At 39.5% G+C, this 21628-nt stretch overlaps 1 protein-coding gene and 2 non-coding genes across 8 annotated transcripts in view, besides 6 other annotated features; 2 read left to right on the forward strand and 1 right to left on the reverse strand.

The window, feature by feature from the left end:
• Nucleotides 3778-4977: an enhancer, noted in NCBI's record as "BRD4-independent group 4 enhancer chr17:28443345-28444544 (GRCh37/hg19 assembly coordinates)". NCBI's record gives its function as "activates an origin of replication core promoter dependent on BRD2, P300/CBP, MED14 and CDK7 cofactors, and independent of BRD4, by STARR-seq in HCT116 cells {active_cell/tissue: HCT116}" and the evidence as "EXISTENCE:reporter gene assay evidence [ECO:0000049][PMID:35650434]".
• Nucleotides 4010-4129: an enhancer, noted in NCBI's record as "active region_11988". NCBI's record gives its function as "activates an Ori minimal core promoter by ATAC-STARR-seq in GM12878 lymphoblastoid cells {active_cell/tissue: GM12878}" and the evidence as "EXISTENCE:reporter gene assay evidence [ECO:0000049][PMID:35858748]".
• Nucleotides 4092-4693: a silencer, noted in NCBI's record as "fragment chr17:28443659-28444260 (GRCh37/hg19 assembly coordinates)". NCBI's record gives its function as "represses an EF-1alpha promoter that drives an FKBP-Casp9 reporter gene in an ReSE screen in HepG2 liver carcinoma cells {active_cell/tissue: HepG2}" and the evidence as "EXISTENCE:reporter gene assay evidence [ECO:0000049][PMID:32094911]".
• Nucleotides 4150-4249: an enhancer, noted in NCBI's record as "active region_11989". NCBI's record gives its function as "activates an Ori minimal core promoter by ATAC-STARR-seq in GM12878 lymphoblastoid cells {active_cell/tissue: GM12878}" and the evidence as "EXISTENCE:reporter gene assay evidence [ECO:0000049][PMID:35858748]".
• Nucleotides 4267-21628, forward strand: part of NSRP1 (nuclear speckle splicing regulatory protein 1) — a 69660-nt gene continuing 52298 nt past the window's right edge. For 2 of the 6 annotated variants that reach the window (XM_047436917.1, NM_032141.4), the window contains exons 1-2: nt 4267-4314; nt 5531-5624. In XM_047436917.1, the coding sequence (XP_047292873.1) occupies nt 5533-5624 (92 nt within the window). In that variant the 5' untranslated portion in view covers nt 4267-4314; nt 5531-5532. Of the gene's footprint in view, nt 5625-21628 lie in introns of all 6 variants that reach the window. The other 4 variants (XM_047436918.1, XM_011525345.3, XM_047436916.1 and 1 more) reach the window with 4 other exon arrangements.
• Nucleotides 4280-4379: an enhancer, noted in NCBI's record as "active region_11990". NCBI's record gives its function as "activates an Ori minimal core promoter by ATAC-STARR-seq in GM12878 lymphoblastoid cells {active_cell/tissue: GM12878}" and the evidence as "EXISTENCE:reporter gene assay evidence [ECO:0000049][PMID:35858748]".
• MIR423 (microRNA 423) lies at nt 4530-4623 on the forward strand. Its single transcript, NR_029945.1, has one exon. It is a non-coding gene; the product is annotated as a microRNA 423 (primary transcript).
• Nucleotides 4537-4611, reverse strand: MIR3184 (microRNA 3184). The gene has a single exon (NR_036149.1). It is a non-coding gene; the product is annotated as a microRNA 3184 (primary transcript).
• Nucleotides 4630-4699: a silencer, noted in NCBI's record as "silent region_8393". NCBI's record gives its function as "represses an Ori minimal core promoter by ATAC-STARR-seq in GM12878 lymphoblastoid cells {active_cell/tissue: GM12878}" and the evidence as "EXISTENCE:reporter gene assay evidence [ECO:0000049][PMID:35858748]".

Below are 21628 nucleotides of genomic sequence, written 5' to 3' on the forward strand. Positions count from 1 at the left end.
AGTGCTTAGAGAGGCCAAAGGTGTCATGACAGGCCTTGAAGGAAGTTGGTGCATACTGCCTTCAAGATGCTACAAGTTAGCAGAAACTATAGGTAGAGAAAAGGTGTGAGTAGTTGGTTGGGGAAAAGATTGGGTGCAAAGAGAAGAAACTGAAAGTAGTGAAGTTAACATTAGTAACACTAGTGTCAAAAGATTAAGTGGAAGATCCAAGGGTTTCGGTAATGGATCCAATTTAGTCAACTGTTCTGTTCTGGAAGTTTAAGATGATTGGAAATTTCTGTTGTATAACATCCATGAGGATGGTAGTGATGATACTATCTTTTACTGGTTTACCCAGCTTGTCCTTACAGCATTTCTTGTTAAAGTTTCAAAAGTTGGGTTCTAAAATGTTAAGAGGCTTCTCTGTGCCCTTACTCACTGCTGCAGTTACCACCACTGCTGCAGACTCTACAACACTGCATCTGAGAAACTGTCCCTTCTAGCCTAGGGAAAATCCCATGACTGCTTCATTAAAATGTCCCAAAGGCAATGGAAGAATACAGAATATAACAATTGAAAAACTCAAATTATGTAGGATATTGAGTTCTCCCCTGGGTAATTATGGGTAACTAATTCCCCATTCAGTCTATTCAAGCAAGAGGCAGGCAGCCCTGGCAGGGGGCTTTATTTTTTACTCTTTATTTTAAGCAAAGTAACACATACTCATAAAAAGTCATTCTGTTATACAAGGTCTGTTGAGACCACAGCATTTCCCAGCCCCACCTTACCTTTATTTTCCTTGCTTCTGAGTCAGCTACTTTCAATTCTTTTTGCTCAGGAGTTGGTAAACAGCCCATTGGCCAAATCTGGCCAGCTGCCTGGTATGGTAAATAAAGTTTTATTGGAATAGCTATGCCCATGTCTGTGGCTGCTTTCACATTACCAGGGCAGAGTTGAGTAGTGGCCACAAAAACCATATGGGTCACATGGACTAAACTATTTGCTATCTGACTGCAGAAAAAGTTTGCCAACCCCTATTTTAGCTGTGGTTTTGACATTTACCTCTATATTGTTAAATTACATGCTTGTGTGGCTACTTTTGTTTTTCCGATTTAGGCAATATCTATTAATCTCCCAGTATACAATACAAAGATTTAGCTCCTTCCTCAGCATATATACACACACGCTTCCCATCCATTCTTCCCAATATTATTACATGGTAATGTAATCAGAATAGATCAATATTCAGTGTTTATATTATCATGATTATGTATGCTATTTACAGCTTAGCCATGTTGTAAATTACAATTATTTTCCATTCCTGTACATCCTTTTGCTTTCCCTAGAGTTAATGTCAAAAGAAAACTGGAGTGCTATAATATCACACAAGTAGATTTCAGAGCAAAGAATATTATAATGATAAAGGTTATTTGATAATGAAAAGTCAATTAAGAAGACATTACAATCTTAAACCTAATAACAGAGCTTCAAAATACATGAAGCTAAAACTGATAGAACTTCAAGTCTATAGACATAAAATATTTACCTAGGACTGGGGGATTTGGAGGAAAATAGGAGTGACTAATAGGTATATGGTTTCTTTGTTGGGTATTAAAAATAATCTAAAATTGGCCAGGTGCAGTGGCTCACACCTGTGATCCCAGCACTTTGGGAGGCTGAGGCGGGTGGATCACCTGAGGTCAGGCGTTTGAGACCACCCTGGCCAACATGGAGAAACCCTGTCTCTACTAAAAATACAAAAATTAGCTGGGTGTTGTGGCGGGCGCCTGTAATCCCAGCTATTTAGGAGGCTGAGGCAGGAGAATCGCTTGAACCCAGGAGGCTTGAACCCAGGAGCTTGCAGTGAGCTGAGATGCACCATAGCTCTCCAGCCTGGGAAACAGAGCAAGGCTCTGTCTCAAAAAACAAAAACAAAACTAAAATTGATTGTGGTGAGGGTAGTACAACTATGACTATACTAAACATACAACTTGACTATACTAAACCCCACTGAATTGCACACTTTAAATGAATGAATTGTATGATATGTGAATTATCGCTCAATAAAACTTTTTAAAAATATTTTTAAAAATATTATACTAGATAGAAATCTGAATCTATACAAAGACATGGAAACACCAGAAATGATAAATATGTGGGTAAACGTATTTTTCCTATTCAAAAAAATCTTTTTAAAAACCAAGTTACTTTTTATAGCAAAAATAATTTATTGTGCATTTATGACATAGTGACAATAGCACAAAACTAGGAGATAAAATGGAAGTATACTTTTCTAAGCTTCTTATACTATACACAAAGTGGTAGATTCTTACTTTAAGGCAGATTGTGATAAGTTTAAGACATATATTAGAAACCCTAAAGCAACAGCTTATATAACAAGCAAAGAAGTATGGTCAATAAACCAACAAAGGAGGCTGAAGCATGAAAATCATAAGCTGAATCACAGTTGGGAAAAATAGAAAACAAATAGCAATCATACTTTTTTTTTTTTTTTTTGAGATGGGGTCTGGCTATGTTGTGCATGCTGGCCTCAACCTCCCAAAGTGTTGGGACTACAGGCCTGAGCCACCCCACCCAGCCTGCAATCATAGTCACTTTAATGAAAATGTTTTAAGCATCCAAATTAAATGGAAGAGACTGTCAGACTGGATAAAAAAGCAAGACCCAACTATTTTCTGTCAACAAGTGATCCAATTTGAATGTAAATACACAAATAGATTAAAATGGGTTGAAAAAGATACACTATGCTAGCATTAATCAAAAGAAAGCTAGTTATATTGATAGCAGACCAAGCAGACAAAGAAGAATAAAGGAATAAAGAGGGCCACTTCTTAATGCTATAGAGGTTAGTAGAGGTTAATGCAAGAGAACGTAACAATCCTAAATGTTTACATACCTAATTTCAAAATACACGACACAAACTGATAGAATTGAAAGGAGAAGCAAATTCGCAATTATAGTTGGAGATTTCAACATCCTTATCTCAGTAATTGATCTCTTTGGCTGCTCTGAGACTAGCTGGGAATGAACCAAGAGTGAATGAGTGCACAGATGTGGGCAGAGTTTTCAAAAAGGTATCATATATGGGCCAGGCACGGTGGCTCACGCCTGTAATCCCAGCACTTTGGGAGGCTGAGGCGGGTGGGTCACATGAGGTCAGGAGTTTGAGACCAGCCTGGCCAACATGGTGAAACCCCGCCTCTACTAAAAAAATACAAAAATTAGCCAGGCATGGTGGCGGACGCCTGTAATCTCAGCTACTCAGGAGGCTGAGGCAGGAGAATCGCCTGAACCTGGGAGGCGGAGGTTGCAGTGAGCCAAGATTATGCCACTGCACTCCAGCCTGGGCGACAAGAGCGAGACTACGTCTCAAAAAAAAAAAAAAAAAAAAAAAAGTATCATATATGATCCTGATTCCTATACCCAATGGCCCGTGAACAGTATTATTAATAATTTTGGTCCTTGGGCCGGGCGCGGTGGCTCATGCCTGTAATCCCAGCAATTTGGGAGGCCGAGTCGGGCGGATCACCCGAGGTCGGGAGTTCGAGACCAGCCTGACCAACATGGAGAAACCCCGTCTCTACTAAAAATACAAACTTAGCCGGGCGTGGTGGCACATGCCTGTAATCCCAGCTACTCGGGAGGCTGAGGCAGGAGAATCGCTTGAACCCGGGAGGCGGAGGTTGAGGTAACCGAGTTCGCGCCTTTGCACTCTAGCCTGGGCAACAAGAGCGAAACTCCGTCTCAAAAAAAAAATTTTTTTTTTAATAATAATTTTGGTCCTATGTAAGGTATTATTAATACACAGATTTTCATTTTTCGCCTAATTATCCTGAACCAGTTAAAGTGAACACTTGGAAGGGGGTAGGGGGAATATCGATAGCCATGGCAGTGGTTTTCAAACTTTATCAGAATTACCCGCTGGTTAAAATTCAGATAACTCGCTTCACTCCAAAGTTTCTGATTCTGCAGGTTTGGGGTAGGGCCCGAGAATTTGTCATTTTAACAGTATCTCCGGTGTTGCTGATGCCGCTGGTCCCAGAACCACACACTGCGAACAACTGGCCTAGAACGTTGTCATTCCTTTCTCCTACAGATTTTGAGGCAGCCGGTGGGCTCCGAAACAAAACAGAGGTCACTGGATCCGATTCCCAGTACCATAGAAGTGACTCAAACCAGCGATTCAACCGACAAGCAGGATCCGGGCCACCCAAAGCCGCGCGAGAGTTTACGTGACGACATCGGCGTCAGCGTCACGGAGGCGTCGGCCACGTTCAGCGGACACGGGAGCAAGATGGCGATTCCGGGCAGGCAGTGAGTGATCCGGGAGTTAGGGTCAGGCTGGGGGATGAGAAACTACGGCGACTGTATCTTTGGCCGAGGAGTTTTAAATGCGCTGGAAGTGAAGGGACTGTGTCGTCAAGGGTAGAGACGGGAAAAAACGAGAAGTCCTGAGGAACATAGATTCCCCTCCCCCGTACATTTTCCCGGATGGAAGCCCGAAGTTTGAGGGAGAAACTTGTGAGGAAATAAAGGAAGTTAGGCTGAGGGGCAGAGAGCGAGACTTTTCTATTTTCCAAAAGCTCGGTCTGAGGCCCCTCAGTCTTGCTTCCTAACCCGCGCTTGAGTTTCTCCCCGCTTGGATGCTCTCAGGGGCAGTGTGAAGAGAGACAGTTCCTGGCTTCCTTAGAGGGCCTTGTTCTCCTTGGCAGAAGCTCAAGTCCTGATTCCCGCCCTTCCTTCTCGTTTTAGGAATATTGTTCTGAGAAGCCACAGAAAAAGGGTAGGCATATAGGAAATTGGGGTATACGTTGCCGCAAAAGAGACAAATACTGTACGTACTTGAAAGTTTTACCTTTGATGTGTAATCCTTACTTTTGATGCGGCCTCCCGTGATCTCCGCATCTTAAAGGCCAAAACGTGAGAAACTAAAGGAGTTGGATCTGATGGGATGGTTCTCTCAGATGCTCCGAGGCAAAGCACATGATCTTAATAAAGTGTAATGCGAACTTGCCCCATGGCTACTTGGGTTTCTCAGTTATCTTTTAAAAATTTTCGTGAGTTACACTATCCAGTCAGTTCTTAGAAACTGTGTAAGTACACAGTAGGAAAAAAAATCTAGCCATTTTCTTGACTGTTTAGACCACAAGGATAGTTGAAAGCATTTTAAAATCTTTAGTGGACATGAACTAAACTTTCCACTACACATGTTTTTTTTTTTTTTTTTTAAATGTTACTGTCACTTCGCCATCTTAAAACATTTCTGAACTTTTCATTTACTTCTCTTCTTTGATAAAAATGGTATTCGAGTTTGGCCCGTGTCCACAAATGATCACTTAGAGTAGTAATTATAGAATCTTACGGCATGTTAGAATTTTGAGATCACTGAGAAGCAAAAACAGTCTGTTACGTGTTCATAAAGCTTATGACATGTTTTGATTTGGTAGCTTCATGTGGAAGAGGTAGTAGATGTATTTGTTAACATTTAAACATAAAGGTTTAATTTCTATTTCAAAAAAAATATATGCAGGTATGGGCTTATTTTGCCAAAGAAAACACAGCAGTTGCACCCTGTTTTGCAAAAACCATCAGTGTTTGGGAATGATTCTGATGATGATGATGAGGTAAGGAAACCTATGTTTTACTCGTGCATGGTTGGAAATGTAAATTTTTTAAAAATTGAACTTGTGACTCTGATACCTTTGCCTTTGTTATTTGTCAGTACAGTGGAGTATAATTTACAGAATTGTCAAAAAGGAAGGTGTAAAGAAAGCAGCTCCACCGATTTTTTAAAGATTTTTTTCCCTCTAAAAGCTGCAAACTTTACCTTTAAACAAATACACGGTCTTTTCAGACTACTGAAATTGTCATAACAAAATTGTTGGTGTAAAGATCCCTAGGTATGAGTTATTAAGATGTCACCAATTTTCTACAAATTTTTATTAGCAAAGCAGTTTTTAATTTGTTAACCATGAGCTAAGATCACTATATAACAGTTCTTAACAACGCTACTTTTTTTTTAAATTCAGTGTCTGCCAAATGTAATTGCTCAGTTATAATCGTGGTAGTGAATAGTTACTCTTGATAGTACTACAGTAACATCTAATATCAACATTTTCTATTTTAGCAGCCAAAACTACTTCTGTGAAACCCACAGTTATATATCAGAAACAATCCCAAATGTGTGCTTTTCTTTTCTCTTTTTTTTTTTTTTTTTGAAACAGTGTCTTGCTCAGTTGCCCAGGCTGGAGTGCAATGCCGCGATCTCGGCTCACTGCAACCTCCGCCTCCTGGGTTCAAGCGATTCTCTTGCCTAATCTTCCTGAGTAGCTGGGATTACAGGCACCTGCCATCATGACCAGCTAATTTTTGTATTTTTGTAGAGACAGGGTCTCACCATGTTGGCCGGGCTAGTCTTGAACTCCTGACCTCAGGTGATCTGCCTGCCTCAGCTTCCCAAAGTGCTGGGATTACAGGCGTAAGCCACCGCACCCAGTAAATATGTGCTTTTCCAATACTCCCATCATGTTTTAATATTTTTTTTTCTTTTTTTTTTTGAGACAGAGTTTCGCTCTTGTTACCTAGGCTAGAGTGGGATGGTGCAGTCTTGGCTCACTGCAACCCCTGCCTCCCAGGTTCAAGTGATTCTCCTGCTTCAATCTCCTGAGTAGCTGGGGTTACAGGTGCCTGCCACCATGCCTGGCTAATTTTTATTTTTTTATTTTTTTGTATTTTTAGTATTTTTAATATTTTTTGTATTTAGTAGATTTTCCTGCCTCAGCCTCCTGAGTAGCTGGGATTACAGGTGCCCCACCACCACGCCCAGCTAATTTTTATATTTTTAGGAGAGACGGGGTTTCACCATGTTGGCCAGGCTGGTCTTGAACCTAACCTCAGGTGATCCACTTGCCTTGGCCTCCCAAAGTGTTGGGATTACAGGCATGAGTCACCATGCCCAGCCTCTTTTTTTTGAGATGGAGTCTCCCTCTTTCGCCCAGGCTGGAGTGCAGTGGTGCGATCTCAGCTCATTGCAACCTCCGCCTCCTGGGTTCAAGCGTTTCTCCTGCCTCAGCCTGCTGAGTAGCAGGGATTACAGGAACACACCACCACGCCTGGCTAATTCTTGTGTTTTTAGTAGAGGTGGGATTTCACCATGTTGATCAGGCTGGTCTCGAACTCCTGACCTCAGATGATCCACCCACCTTGGCCTCCCAAAGTGCTGGAATTACAGGCATGACCCACTGTGCCTGACCGGTTTTCAGTTTTTATTATATAATAGCATGGGTGGATAATTTAACATATTTGATATTTCTTTGCTACTTTTGAAGACATTGGCTCTTTATGGCTCACAGTTTTTAAAAATTGAGGTATAATTTACATATAAAATGCTCAGATTTTAAGTGTACAGCTTGATGATTTTTGACAAATGTATATGCCCCAATCAAGATTTAGAACATTTCCCTCTCTCCCAAAAGGCTTTCCATACCCTCCTGCAGTCAGTCTACCTCCCCACTTGCTACCCCAGACAAATGCTCATATTTCTATCACTAGATTAGTTTTGCCTGTTACAGAATTTCATATAAAAAAAATCATACAGTATGTACTCTTTTATGTCTGACTTACTCCACTCAGTATAATGCCAGATTTATCCATGTAGTTGTAGAATCACATTTTTCTTAAAATGGATTTTTTCCCCCTTAACAGTGACTTAAGTTTTTCTTCCATTTTTCTGTTTTTATTTCTTCATAAAATATTAGAATAATTGACCATAAGAAATGAATCAAGGTTACTAGTTAAATCTCCATTTCTGCGTAGCCAACTAGAATATTTTCAAATGGAATATTGAGGAAGTTACTAATTACAACTTTTGAATTTTTAATTATGTCGTTGCATTAGTAGATATTTAATACCTACAATAGGTTAAGAGTTGATCAGTTTTGCATCTATATAGCCTATATACTTTTTATTATGTGGTACGCTTTAACAGTTTTTTTTGGGACCTTATATAGTGTTGCTTTCAACCAGTGTCTAGTCTAGTGGGGAAGACAGACATGTGAACATGAATATAAAGCAAACTGAAATATGAAAAGGAAACTAATATACTGAGGATTCCTGTGTGCTCATTATACTTTATTTGATCTTCAGGATCACTCTGATGTATTATTATTCCCATTTTACAGGTCAGAAAATTGAAGCTCAGGTTAAGTAATTTGTTCAAGGCCATGTGGCTGATAAATAAGTGTCAAGATTGGGATTTGAACACAGGCCTATCTGACCTTCAAACCTATACTATTCTTCTGTCTTGCCTTGTTTTAACAGTAGCGTTACAGAATGTGAATGAAATGTAGAGAATGAAATGATTCACTTTGTTGCAGGAAAATCAAGGCAGGAATAAGCATTTAAATAACATTCAAGGCTGGTTTAGATTTAAATAGGCAAAAATAGAGGTGAAATAATTTCATTTGGGAGAGAACAGCAAGAAATACAGAATGGCATACAAGTACAAGGCATTTTTGTGGAATAATGTGGCTGGAGAAGAGGGTATATAGGAAAAAATGTTGCAGATACGGTTGTAACAGGATTGGGCCAGATTGTGGAGTACCTTAAATTTTTCGTATAAAATTTCAACTTTATATTTTCAAGTAGTTTTTGAGTAATTCGGTGATATCATCACACTTTTGGGAAGATAACTCTTGAATTGTAAAACAAAGAAAGGGAGAAATGAGAGATGAGTTTAAAAATGCTTGTTAGAAGGCTTTTTTAGTAGTTCAGGTGAGAGATCTCAACCTAGGTTGAGGTCATTGGGAATTAATGGGGAAAAATGTGAGCGATACCACAGAAATAAGTAGGACCTGGCAGCCACATTGAATATATGGGAAAGAGATGGAGTCCTGATGCAAGATCTTTTTTTTTTTTTTTTGGTCATCATTTTCCCTCATTAAAAAAATATATAATTCACACACTGTATACTTTACCCTTTTAAAGTGTACAATTCACTGTGTGTGTGCGTGTGTGTGTGTGTTTTTTTTTTTTTTTGAGACGGAGTCTCTGTCACTCAGGCTGGAGTGCGGTGGCGTGATCTCGGCTCACTGCAACTGCAACCTCCACCTCCCGGGTTCAAGCAATTCTCCTGCCTCAGCCTCCTGAGTAGCTGGGATTACAGGCACCTGCCACCATACCCAGCTAATTTTTGTATTTTTAGTAGAGACGGAGTTTCACCATGTTGATCAGGCTGGTCTCGAACCCCTGACCTTGTGATCCACCTCGCCCGGCCTCCCAAAGTGCTGGGATTACAGGCGTGAGCCGCCGCGCCCGGCCAATTCACTGGTTTTTAAGAGTTGTGCCGGCATCACCACTGTTTAGAACATTTTCCTCACCCAGAAAGAAACTGTGTACCCATTACCATCACTCCCCATTCTCCCCACCCCTAAACCCTGGCAACCACTAATTTACTTTCTGTTTCTATGGGTTTCCCTATTCTGCACATTTCATATAAATAGAATCATGCAATAGGCTTTCTTTTGTGTCTGACTTCTTTCACTTAGCATGATGTTCTCAAGATTGTAACGTGTCAGTACTCTTTATTTCTTTTTTTATTACTGAATAATATTCCATTGTATGAATGTACCATATTTTATCTATCAGTGGTAGGCATTTGGGTTTTTCCCAATTTCTGGCAATAATGCTGCTATAAATACTTGTGTATAGGTTTTTTGTGTGGATATGTTTTCATTTCCATTGGATATTCTATTGGATATGTACCTAGGATGGAAATTTCTGGTTCATATGATAACTCTGGTTTCATATATATATATATATATATATATATATATATATTTTTTTTTTTTTTTTTTTTTTTTTTTTTTTTTTTTTTGAGACGGAGTTTTACTCTTCACCCAGGCTGGAGTGCAGTGGCGTGATCTCGGCTTATTGCAATCTCTGCCTCCCTGTTTCAAGCAATTCTCCCGCCTCAGCCTCCTGAGTAGCTGGGATTACAGGCGTGTGCCACCATGCCTGGCTAATTTTGTACTTTTAGTAGAGACAGGTTTTCACCATGGTGGCCAGCCTGTTCTTGAACTCCTGACCTCAGGTGATCTGCCTGCCTCGGCCTCCCAAAGTGCTGGGATTACAGGTGTGAGCCACCACACCTGGCCTGGTTTTATTTTTTGAGGAACTGCCAGACTTTTTCAAAATGGCTGCACCATTTTGCATTCCTGTCAGCAGTGTATGAGGGTTTTGACACTTCCACATCCTGTCTAACATTTCTTTTTTATTGTAGCCATATAGAAGGTGTACAGTGGTATCTCATTGTGGCTTTGATTTGCACTTCCCTGGTGGCCAATAATGTTGGACACTTTTTTGTTTTTGGAGAAATGTATATTCATGTCATTTACCTTTTTTTAAAAAAAATTTAAAATTGAGATGGGGTCTCACTATATTGGCCAGGTTGGTCTTGAACACCTGGCCTCAAGCAATCCTCCTGCCTCAGCTTCCCAAAGTGCTGGGACTACAGGTGCAAGCCACTGTTCCCAGCCACATTTATCTCTTTTTATTTTATTTTATTTTTTGAGACAGAGTCTCGCTCTGTAGCCCAGGCTGGAGTGCAGTGGCACGAACTTGGCTCACTACAACCTCCACCTCCTGGGTTCAACCAGTTTCCCTGCTTCAGCCTCCCGAGTAGCTAGGACTACAGGTGCAGCTGGGATTACAGGCATGTGCCACTACGCCCAGCTAATTTTTGTATTTTTAGTAGAGACGGGGTTTCACTATGTTGGCCAGGCTGGTCTCGAACTCCTGACCTTGTGATCTGCCTGCCTCAGCCTTCCAAAGTGCTGGGATTACAGGCATGAGCCACCGTGCCCGGCTTTACCTCTTTTTAAATTGGGTTGTCATTTTATTATGGATTGTAAGAGTTCCTTTAGTATCTTATTAGATATATGGTTTGTAAGTATATTCTCCTGTTCTGTGGGTTGTCTGTTCACTTTTCTTGAAAATATCCTTCGAAGCACAAAAGTTGTTTTGAGGAAATACATTTTTTGCTGCTGTTGCTGGTGCTTTAGTGTCCTACCTAAGAAACCATTGCCTAATCCGAGGTCACAAAGATTTCCACTATGTTTTCTTCTAAGAATTTTGTTGTTTTAGTCCTTGAGTTTAGGTCTTTCATACATTTTGAAATTTTTTTTTTTTAATAATAAGAGAGAGGGGGTTCAACTTCATTCATTTGCATATGGATATCCAGTTGTCCCAGCACCTTTTGTTGAAGACTGTTTACCATTAAATCGTCCATCGTCTATTTACCATTAAATTTTCTAGCACCCTTGTGGTTTAATATACAAATAATTATAAAAATCACTTACTATGGATACAACAGAAGGATTGGACATGCTTATCTTGCATTTCACATTAAAGCACCCTGGTATACTGTGTAACACAAAGCATCATGGCCAGGCATGATAACTCATGCCTGTACCCTCATGCACTTTCGGAGGCTGAGGTGGGAGAATCGCTTGAGGCTAGGAGTTCAAGTCCAGCCTGGGCAACAGCGAGACCCCGTCTCTATAAAAAAAAAAAAAGTGTGGTGGCACGCACTGGTAATGTTAGGTACTTGGAAGGCTCAGGTGGGGAGAATTGCTTGAGCCCAGGTTTGAGGTTGCAGTGAGCTAGGATTGTGCTACTGCACTCCAGCCTGGGCAACAGAGGGAGATCCTGTCTCTAAAATAAAAAGAAAAAGCGATATGAAATGACCACAACATACCACAGTTTGAGAAGGATGGGTTTACACAAGTAATCTAGAGAGTTTTTTGATGTTACTGCTGTTTCTTTTCCATTGTGAAATGAGGCTGGTGTTAGCTAGCCAGTGGGTACACTAGAGTCAGCAAAGATAGGCCTGGGCCATTTTGTGCTAGCTTTCTCCTTCCCTCCTGCTCTTCCTCTTTTCCTCCTTCCTGTAGTGGGACTTTAATACAGAGAATTGTTAACATAGGTGATGGAAGACTTGAGATGCCAAAAAGGGCATGATGAGGCAGTCGAGAGATTAGCAGCAGTAAGAAGCAAGTAGTGATATATAGAGGGATACAAGTAGGAGATGGTTCTTGGAGGCTGGGGACCAGAGTTACCTGGTGGGAACTGGGCTTGTCCAGAAGGAGCAGAAACATTTGGGAGATTCAGTCTTAGAGAGAAAGGTTCTCCTACCTTCCGGTCAAAGCCAATGGACAAGGGAGCTGCAGCTTATTTCTTAGTGAACGGAATATAAAACCATTCCTTAGAATAATTTCCTTACCTATAAAAAAATCAGTCTGGTTAATTCCAGCTTGTCTTTTTACTGAGAAGTAAATTTATTGAGTATATTTAAATATTTGTGAGATTTGGCCAGTCATGGTGGCTCAGGCCTATAATCCCAGCACTTTGGGAGGCTGAGGTGGGCAGATCACTTGAGGTCAGTAGTTCAAGACCAGCCTGGCCAATATGGTGAAACACCATCTCTACTAAAAATACAAAAATTAGCTGGACATGGTGGTGGGCACCTGTAATCCCAGCTACTCAGGCTGAGGCAGGAAAATCACTTGAACCCTGGAGGCAGAGGTTGAGTGAGCTGATATCAAGCCACTGCACTCCAGCCTGGGTGACAGAACGAGACTCCGTCTCAAAAAAAAAGATTAAAAAAAAATTTGTGTGATTTGACTATATATTAAAATCTCTTTCATAATTAGTCAACAATTTAAGCAACAATTAAATTATTAGTGCTGTGGAAAATATAGAAGAAAGATAATTTCTTATTCCCCTCCTGAGGAAAGCATTTGATACACCTGGAAAGGAGCTGCTATGAAGCCAATTTATCTGTTCTTTTTATCAATTCAGCAGCATTTAAGATCAGATTTTTTCTCTAGTGGTCCAGCAGAGGGAGCCCTAGCACATGAATTGTTTTCATTTTGTGCTTGCATCCAGGGTTAGTTTAGTGGGAAAGTGGTAGTCTATCCCTTTTAATTATAATTTAAGCAGTTCCTCCTTTCTTTTTTGAGACAGAGTCTAGCTCTGTCATCCAGGCTGGAGTGCAGTGGCGGCATCTCGGGTCACTGCAGCCTCCACCTCCCAAGTTAAAGCAGTTCTTGTGCCTCAGCCTCCCAAGTAGCTGGGATCACAGGCGTTCGCCACCAGGCCCAGCTAATTTTTGTATTTTTTGTAGAGATGGGGTTTTGCCATGTTGGCCAGGCTGGTCTTGAACTCCTGGCCTCAAGGGATCTGCCTGCCTCAGCCTCCCAAAGTGCTGTGATTGCAGGCGTGAGCCACCATGCGTGGCCTAGTAGATCCTCTTTTTCAAATTGTCAGAATAAGTTAGAAATAATTATCATTTTGTTCAAGGTGGGAGAGATGGTTGGGGGGGTGGTGAAAGTTTTTACACCATATGAGTAAGAAAGCATATTCTGATGCTGCTATCAATTCATAAGTGAGTGGTTTTGCTGTCATAATTTTCCGGTCTCACTGTCACCATGTTCATTCTTTTCTGTTGGATTATTTTAATTGTTTCATAACTAGTTTCCTTATTATCTGTCTTCTCAAATTATTTATGATATTGTCAGATTGATCTTCCTAAAGCACAGTTATAATCACTGATCCTCAGTCCTGAACGTAATTATATTTAAAATCTAAAGTGCTAATCTTGACTTTGAAAACCTTCTCTATGCTTTGCCCCTAGAATGCTTACTAGCATTTTCTCCTAACTGTTCCTCCATAAAAAGTACACTGTCGTGCTTGCAGTTTTTCACAGCTCTGCTTTTCTTTACACTGGAAGTCTTCTCCCCATTTTTTTAATGTCCAAATTATAGCCATCCTTCAAAACCCAGCGCAAAAGCTACTTCTTTCAAGATACCTTCTTTGATTTTCCTCACTGGAAAGAATCTCTTCCTTTTTCTTACACTCTTTACCTTTCTTATTGCACTTAGCTTTTAAAAGCTTGCATTATAAGTTGTTTACATACATGTCTTGTCACTGTACTAGATAAAGTATGAGCTCTATGAGTTAGGATCTGGCCATCTAGCCTAGCTTCGTATTTATTTTTTGAAACAGAGTCTTGTTCTATTGCCCAGGCTGGAGTGCAGTGGTGCGATTTTGGGTCACTGCAACCTCCGCTTCCCAGCCTGAGCAATCTTTTAGCCTCCGCCTCCTGAGTAGCTGGGACCACCGGTGCGAGACACCACTCTCGGCTCATTTTTGTATTTTTTTGTAGAGACAGGGTTTCGCCATGTTGCCCAGGCGGGTCTCAAGCTCTTGAGCTCAAAGTAAAACGCCCACCTTGGCCTCCCAAAGTGCTAGGATTACAAGTGTGAGCCACCATGCCTGGCCTAGGCTAGCTTCTAAAAATTAGTAAGATTATTTATTCAGGTGTTTTAGCTGTCTGTATTGTAAAGATCCAGATAGTAAATGTTTTAGGCCTTGCAGGGCAACTGTACAACTTCATTCTCAGTGTGAAAGCAGCCATTAGGCAATATGTAAATTATGAGCATGAGTAATAAATGTGTTTTAATAAAATTTTATTTACAAAAATGGAGATGGGCTGTATTTGACCCATAGCCTACAACTTGCTGACCACTGGTCTGTATGATTGTTCTCAAAAGTATTTTTGATAACAGATATTTAATGAGTGTTAAGTGACCAAGATGGTTAGATGTTGCATGACAGATTAAACCTAGAACTGTTTTTTAGATGTTTATCTATGATAAATGCCTGCCCATTTTGCAGAGCATAATGAATTTTCCTTTTAATGTCGGCAATTGAAATGTTTATTTCTAAACAATGGTATACTTGTGAAATCTAGTTTTGTAACATAATTTATATGCCATTAAGAGATACGATGTATAGAATCTGAAAATTGTTGCACTTTTTTTGGAGACAAGGTTTTGCTCTGCTGCCCAGGCTGGAGTGCAGTGGTATGATCACGGCTCACTGCAACCTCTACCTTCTGGGCTCAAGTGATCCTCTCACTTAAACACTCCAGTAGCTGGCACCACAGGGATGTGCCACCACATCTGGCTAATTTGTTTATTTTTTGTAGAGACAGGGTCTCCCTCTGTTTCCCAGGCTGGTCTCAGACTCCTGGCCTCTAGTGATCCTTGTGCCTCAGCCTCCCAAAGTGTCGGGATTATAGGTGTGAACTACTGTAACTGGCCTAGTTGTTGCTTTTGGATAAAGAGACAAAACTTTTTAACCACTTTAAAAGAGAGTATTAAGTTTAGATAGCTAAAATTTATTAACTTAGTTTTACATTTTATTTAATTTACATTACTTATTATTTTTTTTCATTTTTTGAGACAGGATCTTGCTCTTTCACCCAGGATGGAGTGCAATTTGTGCAGTCACAACTCATGGCAGCCTCAACCTCCCAGGCCGAAGCACGCCTCTCACCTCAGCCTCCCAAGTAGCTGGGACCACAGGCACACACCACCATGCCTGGCTAATTTTTTAATTTATTTTTTGTAGAGACAGAGTCTCACTGCGTTGCCTAGGCTGCTCTTGAACTCCTGGGCTCAAGTGATCCACCTGCTTTGGCCTCCCAAAGTGTTGGGCTTATAGGTGTGAGCCACTGCACCTGGCTGTGAACTTAGTATGTGTATATATGTATATGTAGTTATATATATATATAAAATTATATATATAAAATTACTCAGAAGCCATAGTATATTCCTTTTATAGGTTAAGCATTTATAGAAATTATAAGGGAAACATTAAAACCCTAGCAGAAAAAAAAGAGGAAAACACATTTAGAGACAAATATAGAAAAAATAGAAATATCTAATGAACATTAAAAATACTCAATTTTACTATAAGAAATGTAAACTTAGGACAATAGTGAGCTACCATTTTTTGCCATCATATTAGCCAAATACTTTTTAAAAATGAAATGGCAAGATCTTTGTGAAATTGCACTCGAATTTTTGTTATAAATTAATGCACATTTTTGGAAGCAGATGGACCTTTTCTGGAAAGCAATTCCAAAAATTAGTATAAATCTTTTAAAAGTTGACTATTGTTTACCCAATATTATCAGTCAGGAGACAGAAACCTTGCCAATATTTTCTTTTCTAAAATTTTGTCTTGGAATTGTCAGAAATTGATATAATATATTTTTAGGTATTCAAAAGCATTTATCTTGGGTCTCTTTATGATCGTAAAAATTTAAGACCAGTCCAGCTTTCAACAGTGAAAGCATGAGTAAGTAAAGTGTGTGCAATACTACGGCTATCACATTCATCATGAAATAACATTTAGTGAAAAAATATATACAAATTTGTTATAGATAAAAGGAAAAAAGACAATAAAGCATTTCATATTAATGGTAGTTATCTTTGTATGGCAGACAATGAGTGGTTTTTTTGTTTTTTTTTTTTTAATTTGTAGAGATGGGGGTCTCGCTATATTGCCCAGGCTCATTTTGAACTCCAGGCCTCAAGTGATCCTCCTGCTTTGGTGTCCCCAAGTGCTGGGATTACAGGTGTGAGCCACCACGCCTGGCATGATTTTTTTTTTTATACTTTTCTGTATTTTCAACTATTTTTTAAGAAAAATTATGGTGAATTTTAAGGATTTCCCATAGTGTATTTAGTTTCCAAATCATATTAAAATGTAAAAAGATATAACACATTTTATCTGATAGAAGACTAGGAGAGAAAATATTGGGACATTTTAAAAGCATGAGGTAGATGAAATAAGGATACAAAATTGAATACTTAGGGTTGTACAATGCTATAGGTGCACAGATAAGTAAAAAATAATAAATGAAAATGATTACTTTTTAGCATGGTAGTGTGAGTTTTTTTTCAAAATCATATTATTATTTTGTTATAATTTTGACGAATACAAGGAAGTGAGTGCTTAAAAAAAAAAAGATAACCATAATTGTGTATTCCCAAAGTAAGAAGCATTAGCAAGTTACAGGATTACATAAGTGTATACACTTCCATTCCTTTCACTATTTCTTGATATTTCTCCTCTTTAATCTTTTTAAAAATTTTCTTGAAAAAGTAAGTTGAAGGTTTGGTTTTCCTAATGAAAAATTAATCTTATTTTAGCTGGAAGCCTGTTTGGCTTACTATTGGTAAGAAAAAGTTAAAATTTTAATCTGTCTGAACATTATAGTACATCCAAATCAATAAAATGTTTTAGTTGTGGTTTTTCATCAGTTTTAATCAGATAATGCCTTACTTCTGTAGATATAGTCTAGTATAGTTCAAATAAAAAGACAGTTGTACATAGATAAGACAAAGCATATTGTGAAAATGTTGGGAAATTTAGGTTATTTTAATGATGGCTGAGAATTTGTGAACTTTTCTCATATGCTATTAAACTGAATTACTAGTAAATTTATGGTACCGAGTATATCAAACAGTGAGGGATTTAAAGTAATTTTGCAATTTGCTAAAATTTCATCCTTAACATACTGGCTAAGAGTGAAAAAGCAAGAAGAGAGAAAAGGAAAAGGATGGAACTAAGACAATTCTATTAGAAGTGGGGAGATGGCAAGAAAATTCTGTCCTCCTTATTTTTCTTTTTCTTTTTTAAAATATTTCATTTTGAGACAGGGACTCACTGTTGTCCAGGCTAGAGTGCAGTGGCTCTGTCACAGCTCACTGTAGCCTCAACCTCCTGGGCTCAAGCAATTCTCCCACCTCAGCCTCCCAAGTAGCTGAGACTACAGTCATGCACTACCATGCCTGCCTAATTTTTTTTTATTTTTTTGTTGAGACAGAGTCTCACTATGTTGCCCAGGCTGTTCTGGAGCCCCTGGCTTCAAATGATCCTCCTGCCTCAGCCTCTCAAAGTACTGGGATTAGAAGTGTGAGCCACTATGCCCAGCGTCCACTAGTCTTTTTAACCATTGTTTTCCATTTCTGAGGTCTTTGACTTAATTTCATAGTTTTTCAACATGTGCTCATTGGGGCATTATTTCTTAAGTTTTTGATTGTTAAATAATGCTTGCCCATTGCTTTTGTCACTTAAATATCTACTTGATTGGGTGTAATATTTCTACAATAACAATTTATTTCAAAATCTTACAGACATTAGTGATTTTTTCTGGTACTTAATGTTCTTATGAGGAAGTACAACACTATAGTTTCTTTTATCCCTACTTCTAGACTTTTTTTAATTGGCTTGGACTACTGGAGAGTATATAGCCTTTTTAACTCAATGTGTCTTGCTGCAAATAATGTTGAATTGTTTTTTCCAGGAATACACTGTTTCTTTTTCTCTAAATATTTAGCTTTTTCTTCATTTCATTGAAATTTACTGTCATCCATGTGCTGGGTTATCATTTTGGAGGATCATCTTTGTCTTTCATATCATCGTCATGCATTTATTAATGCATTCAACAGATATTTATTGATCACTTGCCCTGTGCCAGTGAAACATAACAAAAGCCACTGCCTTTATGGCACTTATATTCTCAAGGTGGTGGTGGTGGGGGGTGATAAGTAATTAACATAACAGATAAGTAAGTTACATGTGAATTTAGAAGATTACAGAGCTGTGAAAAAGTAGAGCAGGATAAGGAAAATTAAACAGGTATTTAGGGAAATTACTCAGTCTATGTCTTTTTCTCTCTACTAAGATTAAACTTTTGTCAGTGTTTCAGTTATAGCTTTTCTGTTTCTTACTGTTTCTAATTTATTAGCTCTATTGGTGTTATTTTAGTCTTCAATATATTTTCTTTAGCTCTACAGTTTCTCTGTCTTTTATTGTCCTCTCATCTGAATAGTAACTTTTAAAATTTAATTAGTAATCTTATTTTGAAGAGTTTGACAGGGAAGAGAGAGAGGAAGAGATGGAAATGATAGTTCAAAGATACACAGGTATACCTCACTGATATTGTGGGTATGGTTCCAGACCACTGCAATAAAGTAAATATCTCAGTAAAGCAAGTCATGTAAGTTTTTTGTTTCCTAGTGTATATAAAAGTTATGTTTATGCTATGCTGTAGTTTTTAAAGTGTGTAATAGCATTATAGCTAAAAAAATGCCTATACCATAATTTTAAAATACTTTATGCTAAAAAATGCTAATGATCATGTGAGCCTTTAGCCAGCAATAATCTTTTTGCTGGTGGAGGGTTTTGTCTCAATGTTAATGGCTGCTGACTGATCAGGTGATGTTTGCTGAAGGCTGGGTGGCCGTAGCAATTTCTTAAGACAAAAATGAAGTTTGCTGCATTGATCGACTCTTCCTTTAATGAATTATTTCTCGGTAACATGTGATGCTGTTTGATAGCATTTACCCACAGTAGAACTTTAAAAATTGGAGTCAGTCCTCTCAAATCCTGCTGCTGTTTTATCAACTAAGTTTATGTAATAATCTAAATTCTTTGTTGTCATTTCAACAATGCTCACGTCGTCACCATGAGTAGATTCTATATAAAGAAACCAGTGCAAGGCCAGGCGCGGTGGCTCACGCTTGTAATCCCAGCACTTTGGGAGGCCGAGGCGGGCGGATCACAAGGTCAGGAGATCAAGACCATCCTGGCTAACATGGTGAAACCCCGTCTCTACTAAAAATACAAAAAATTAGCCGGGCATGGTGGCGGGCGCCTGTAGTCCCAGCTACTCCGGAGGCTGAGGCAGGAGAATGGCATGAACCAGGGAGGCAGAGCTTGCAGTGAGCTGAGATCATACCACTGCACTCCAGCCTGGGCGACAGAGCGAGACTGTCTCAAAAAAAAAAAAAAGAAAAGAAAAGAAACCAGTGCAGTGGCTCATGCCTATAATCCCAGCACTTTGGGAGACTGAAGTAGGCGAATCACCTGAGGTCAGGAGTTCAAGACCAGCCTGGCCAACATGGTGAAACCCCGTCTCTACTAAAAAATAAAAAAGTTAGCCAGTTGTGGTGGCGTGCGCCTGTAATCCCAGCTACTCAGAAGACTGAGGCAGGAGAATCATATGAGCCCAGGAGGTGGAGGTTGCAGTGAGCCAAGATCATGCCACTGCACTCCAGCTTGGGCGACAGAGCGAGACTGTCTCAAAAAGAAAAGAAACCATTTTCTTTGCTCATCCAGTAGAAGAAATTTGTCATCAATTCAAGTTTTATCATGAGATTGTCATCAATTCAAGTTTTATCATGAGCAGTTCAGTCACATCTTCAGACTCCATTTGTAATTCTAGTTCTCTTGCCATTTCTACCCCATCTGTAGCCACTTCATCTACTGAAGTCTTGAAGCCCTCAAAGTCATTCATGAGAGTTGGAATCAGCTTCTTCCAAACTCATGTTAATGATGTTTGGCCTCCACCCATGAATCACAAGTGTTCTTAATGGCTTCTAGACTGTTGAATTTCTTCCAGAAGGTTTTCAGTTTACTTGCCCACATCTGTCAGAGGAATCACTGTCTGTGGAAGCTGTAGAGTTTATGAAATGTATTTTTGTTTTTTCGAGACAAGGTCTCGCTTTGTCACTCTGGCTGGAGTGCAGTGGTGCGATCTTGGTTCACTGCAACCTCTGTCGCCTGGGCTCAAACGATCCTCCCACCTCAGTCAGCCTCCTGAGTAGCATGGGCCACAGGCACTCACCACCACACCCAGCTATTTTTTTTTTTTTTTTTTTTTTGGTAGAGACAGGGGTCTCACCATGTTGCCCAGTATGGTCTCAAACTCCTGAGCTCAAGCAATCTACCTGCCTTGGCTTCCCAAAGTGCTGGGGTTACAGGTATGAGCCACCACACCTGGCCTTGAAATGTATTTCTTAAATAAGCCTTGAAGGTCAGAATTACTCCTTGAACCATTTGCTCCAGAATGGATAGTGTGTTGATAGGCCTGAAAACAACATTCATCTCCTTGTACATCTCTGTCAGAGCTCGTGATAACCCGATGCATTGTCAGCAGTATTTTGAAAGGAATCTTTTTTTTCAAGCAGTGGGTCTCCATGACGGGATTAAAATATTCAGTAAACCAAGCTGTAAACAGATGTGCTGTCATGTAGGCTTTGTTGTTTCATTTATAGAGCACAGGCAAGTAGATTTAGCATAATTTTTAAGGGCCCTAGCATTTTTCAAATTGTCAATGAGAGTCAGCCTTTGAAGCTTTGAAGCCAAGCGTTGACTTCTCTTGGGCTTTGAAAGTCCTAGATGGCATCTTCTTCCAATAGAAGGCTGTTTTGTCTACATTGAGAATCTGTTGTTTATTGTAGCCACTTTCATTGATGGTCCCTGTTAGGTTTTCTGGATAACTTACTGCAGCTTCTAAATTGGCTTAAGGGAACATTGTGGCTAGTTTGATCTTCTCTTCAGACTACTAAAATTCTCTCCATATCAGCAATAAGGCTGTTTGCCTTCTTATCATTCATGTGTTCACTGGAGTAGCAACTTTTAATTTCCTTCCATAACTTTTCCTTTGCATTCAGAACTTGACTGTTTGACTGCAAGAAGCCTAGCTTTCAGCCTGTCTCGCCTTTCAGCATGCCTTCCTCAATCAGCTTAATCATTTCCAGCTTTTGATTTAAAGTAAGAAACCTGCTACTCTTTCTTTCACTTGAACACTTAAAGGCCATTGTAGGGTTATTAGTTGACCTAATTTCAGTATTGTTGCGTCTCAAGGAATAGGAAGGCCTGAGGAGAGGGAGAGAGGAGAGAGGAAAACACCGGTTGGTGGAGCAGT

Source organism: Homo sapiens, chromosome 17, assembly GCF_000001405.40.
Source record: "Homo sapiens chromosome 17, GRCh38.p14 Primary Assembly".
In the NCBI taxonomy this organism is placed as follows: Eukaryota; Metazoa; Chordata; class Mammalia; order Primates; family Hominidae; genus Homo; species Homo sapiens.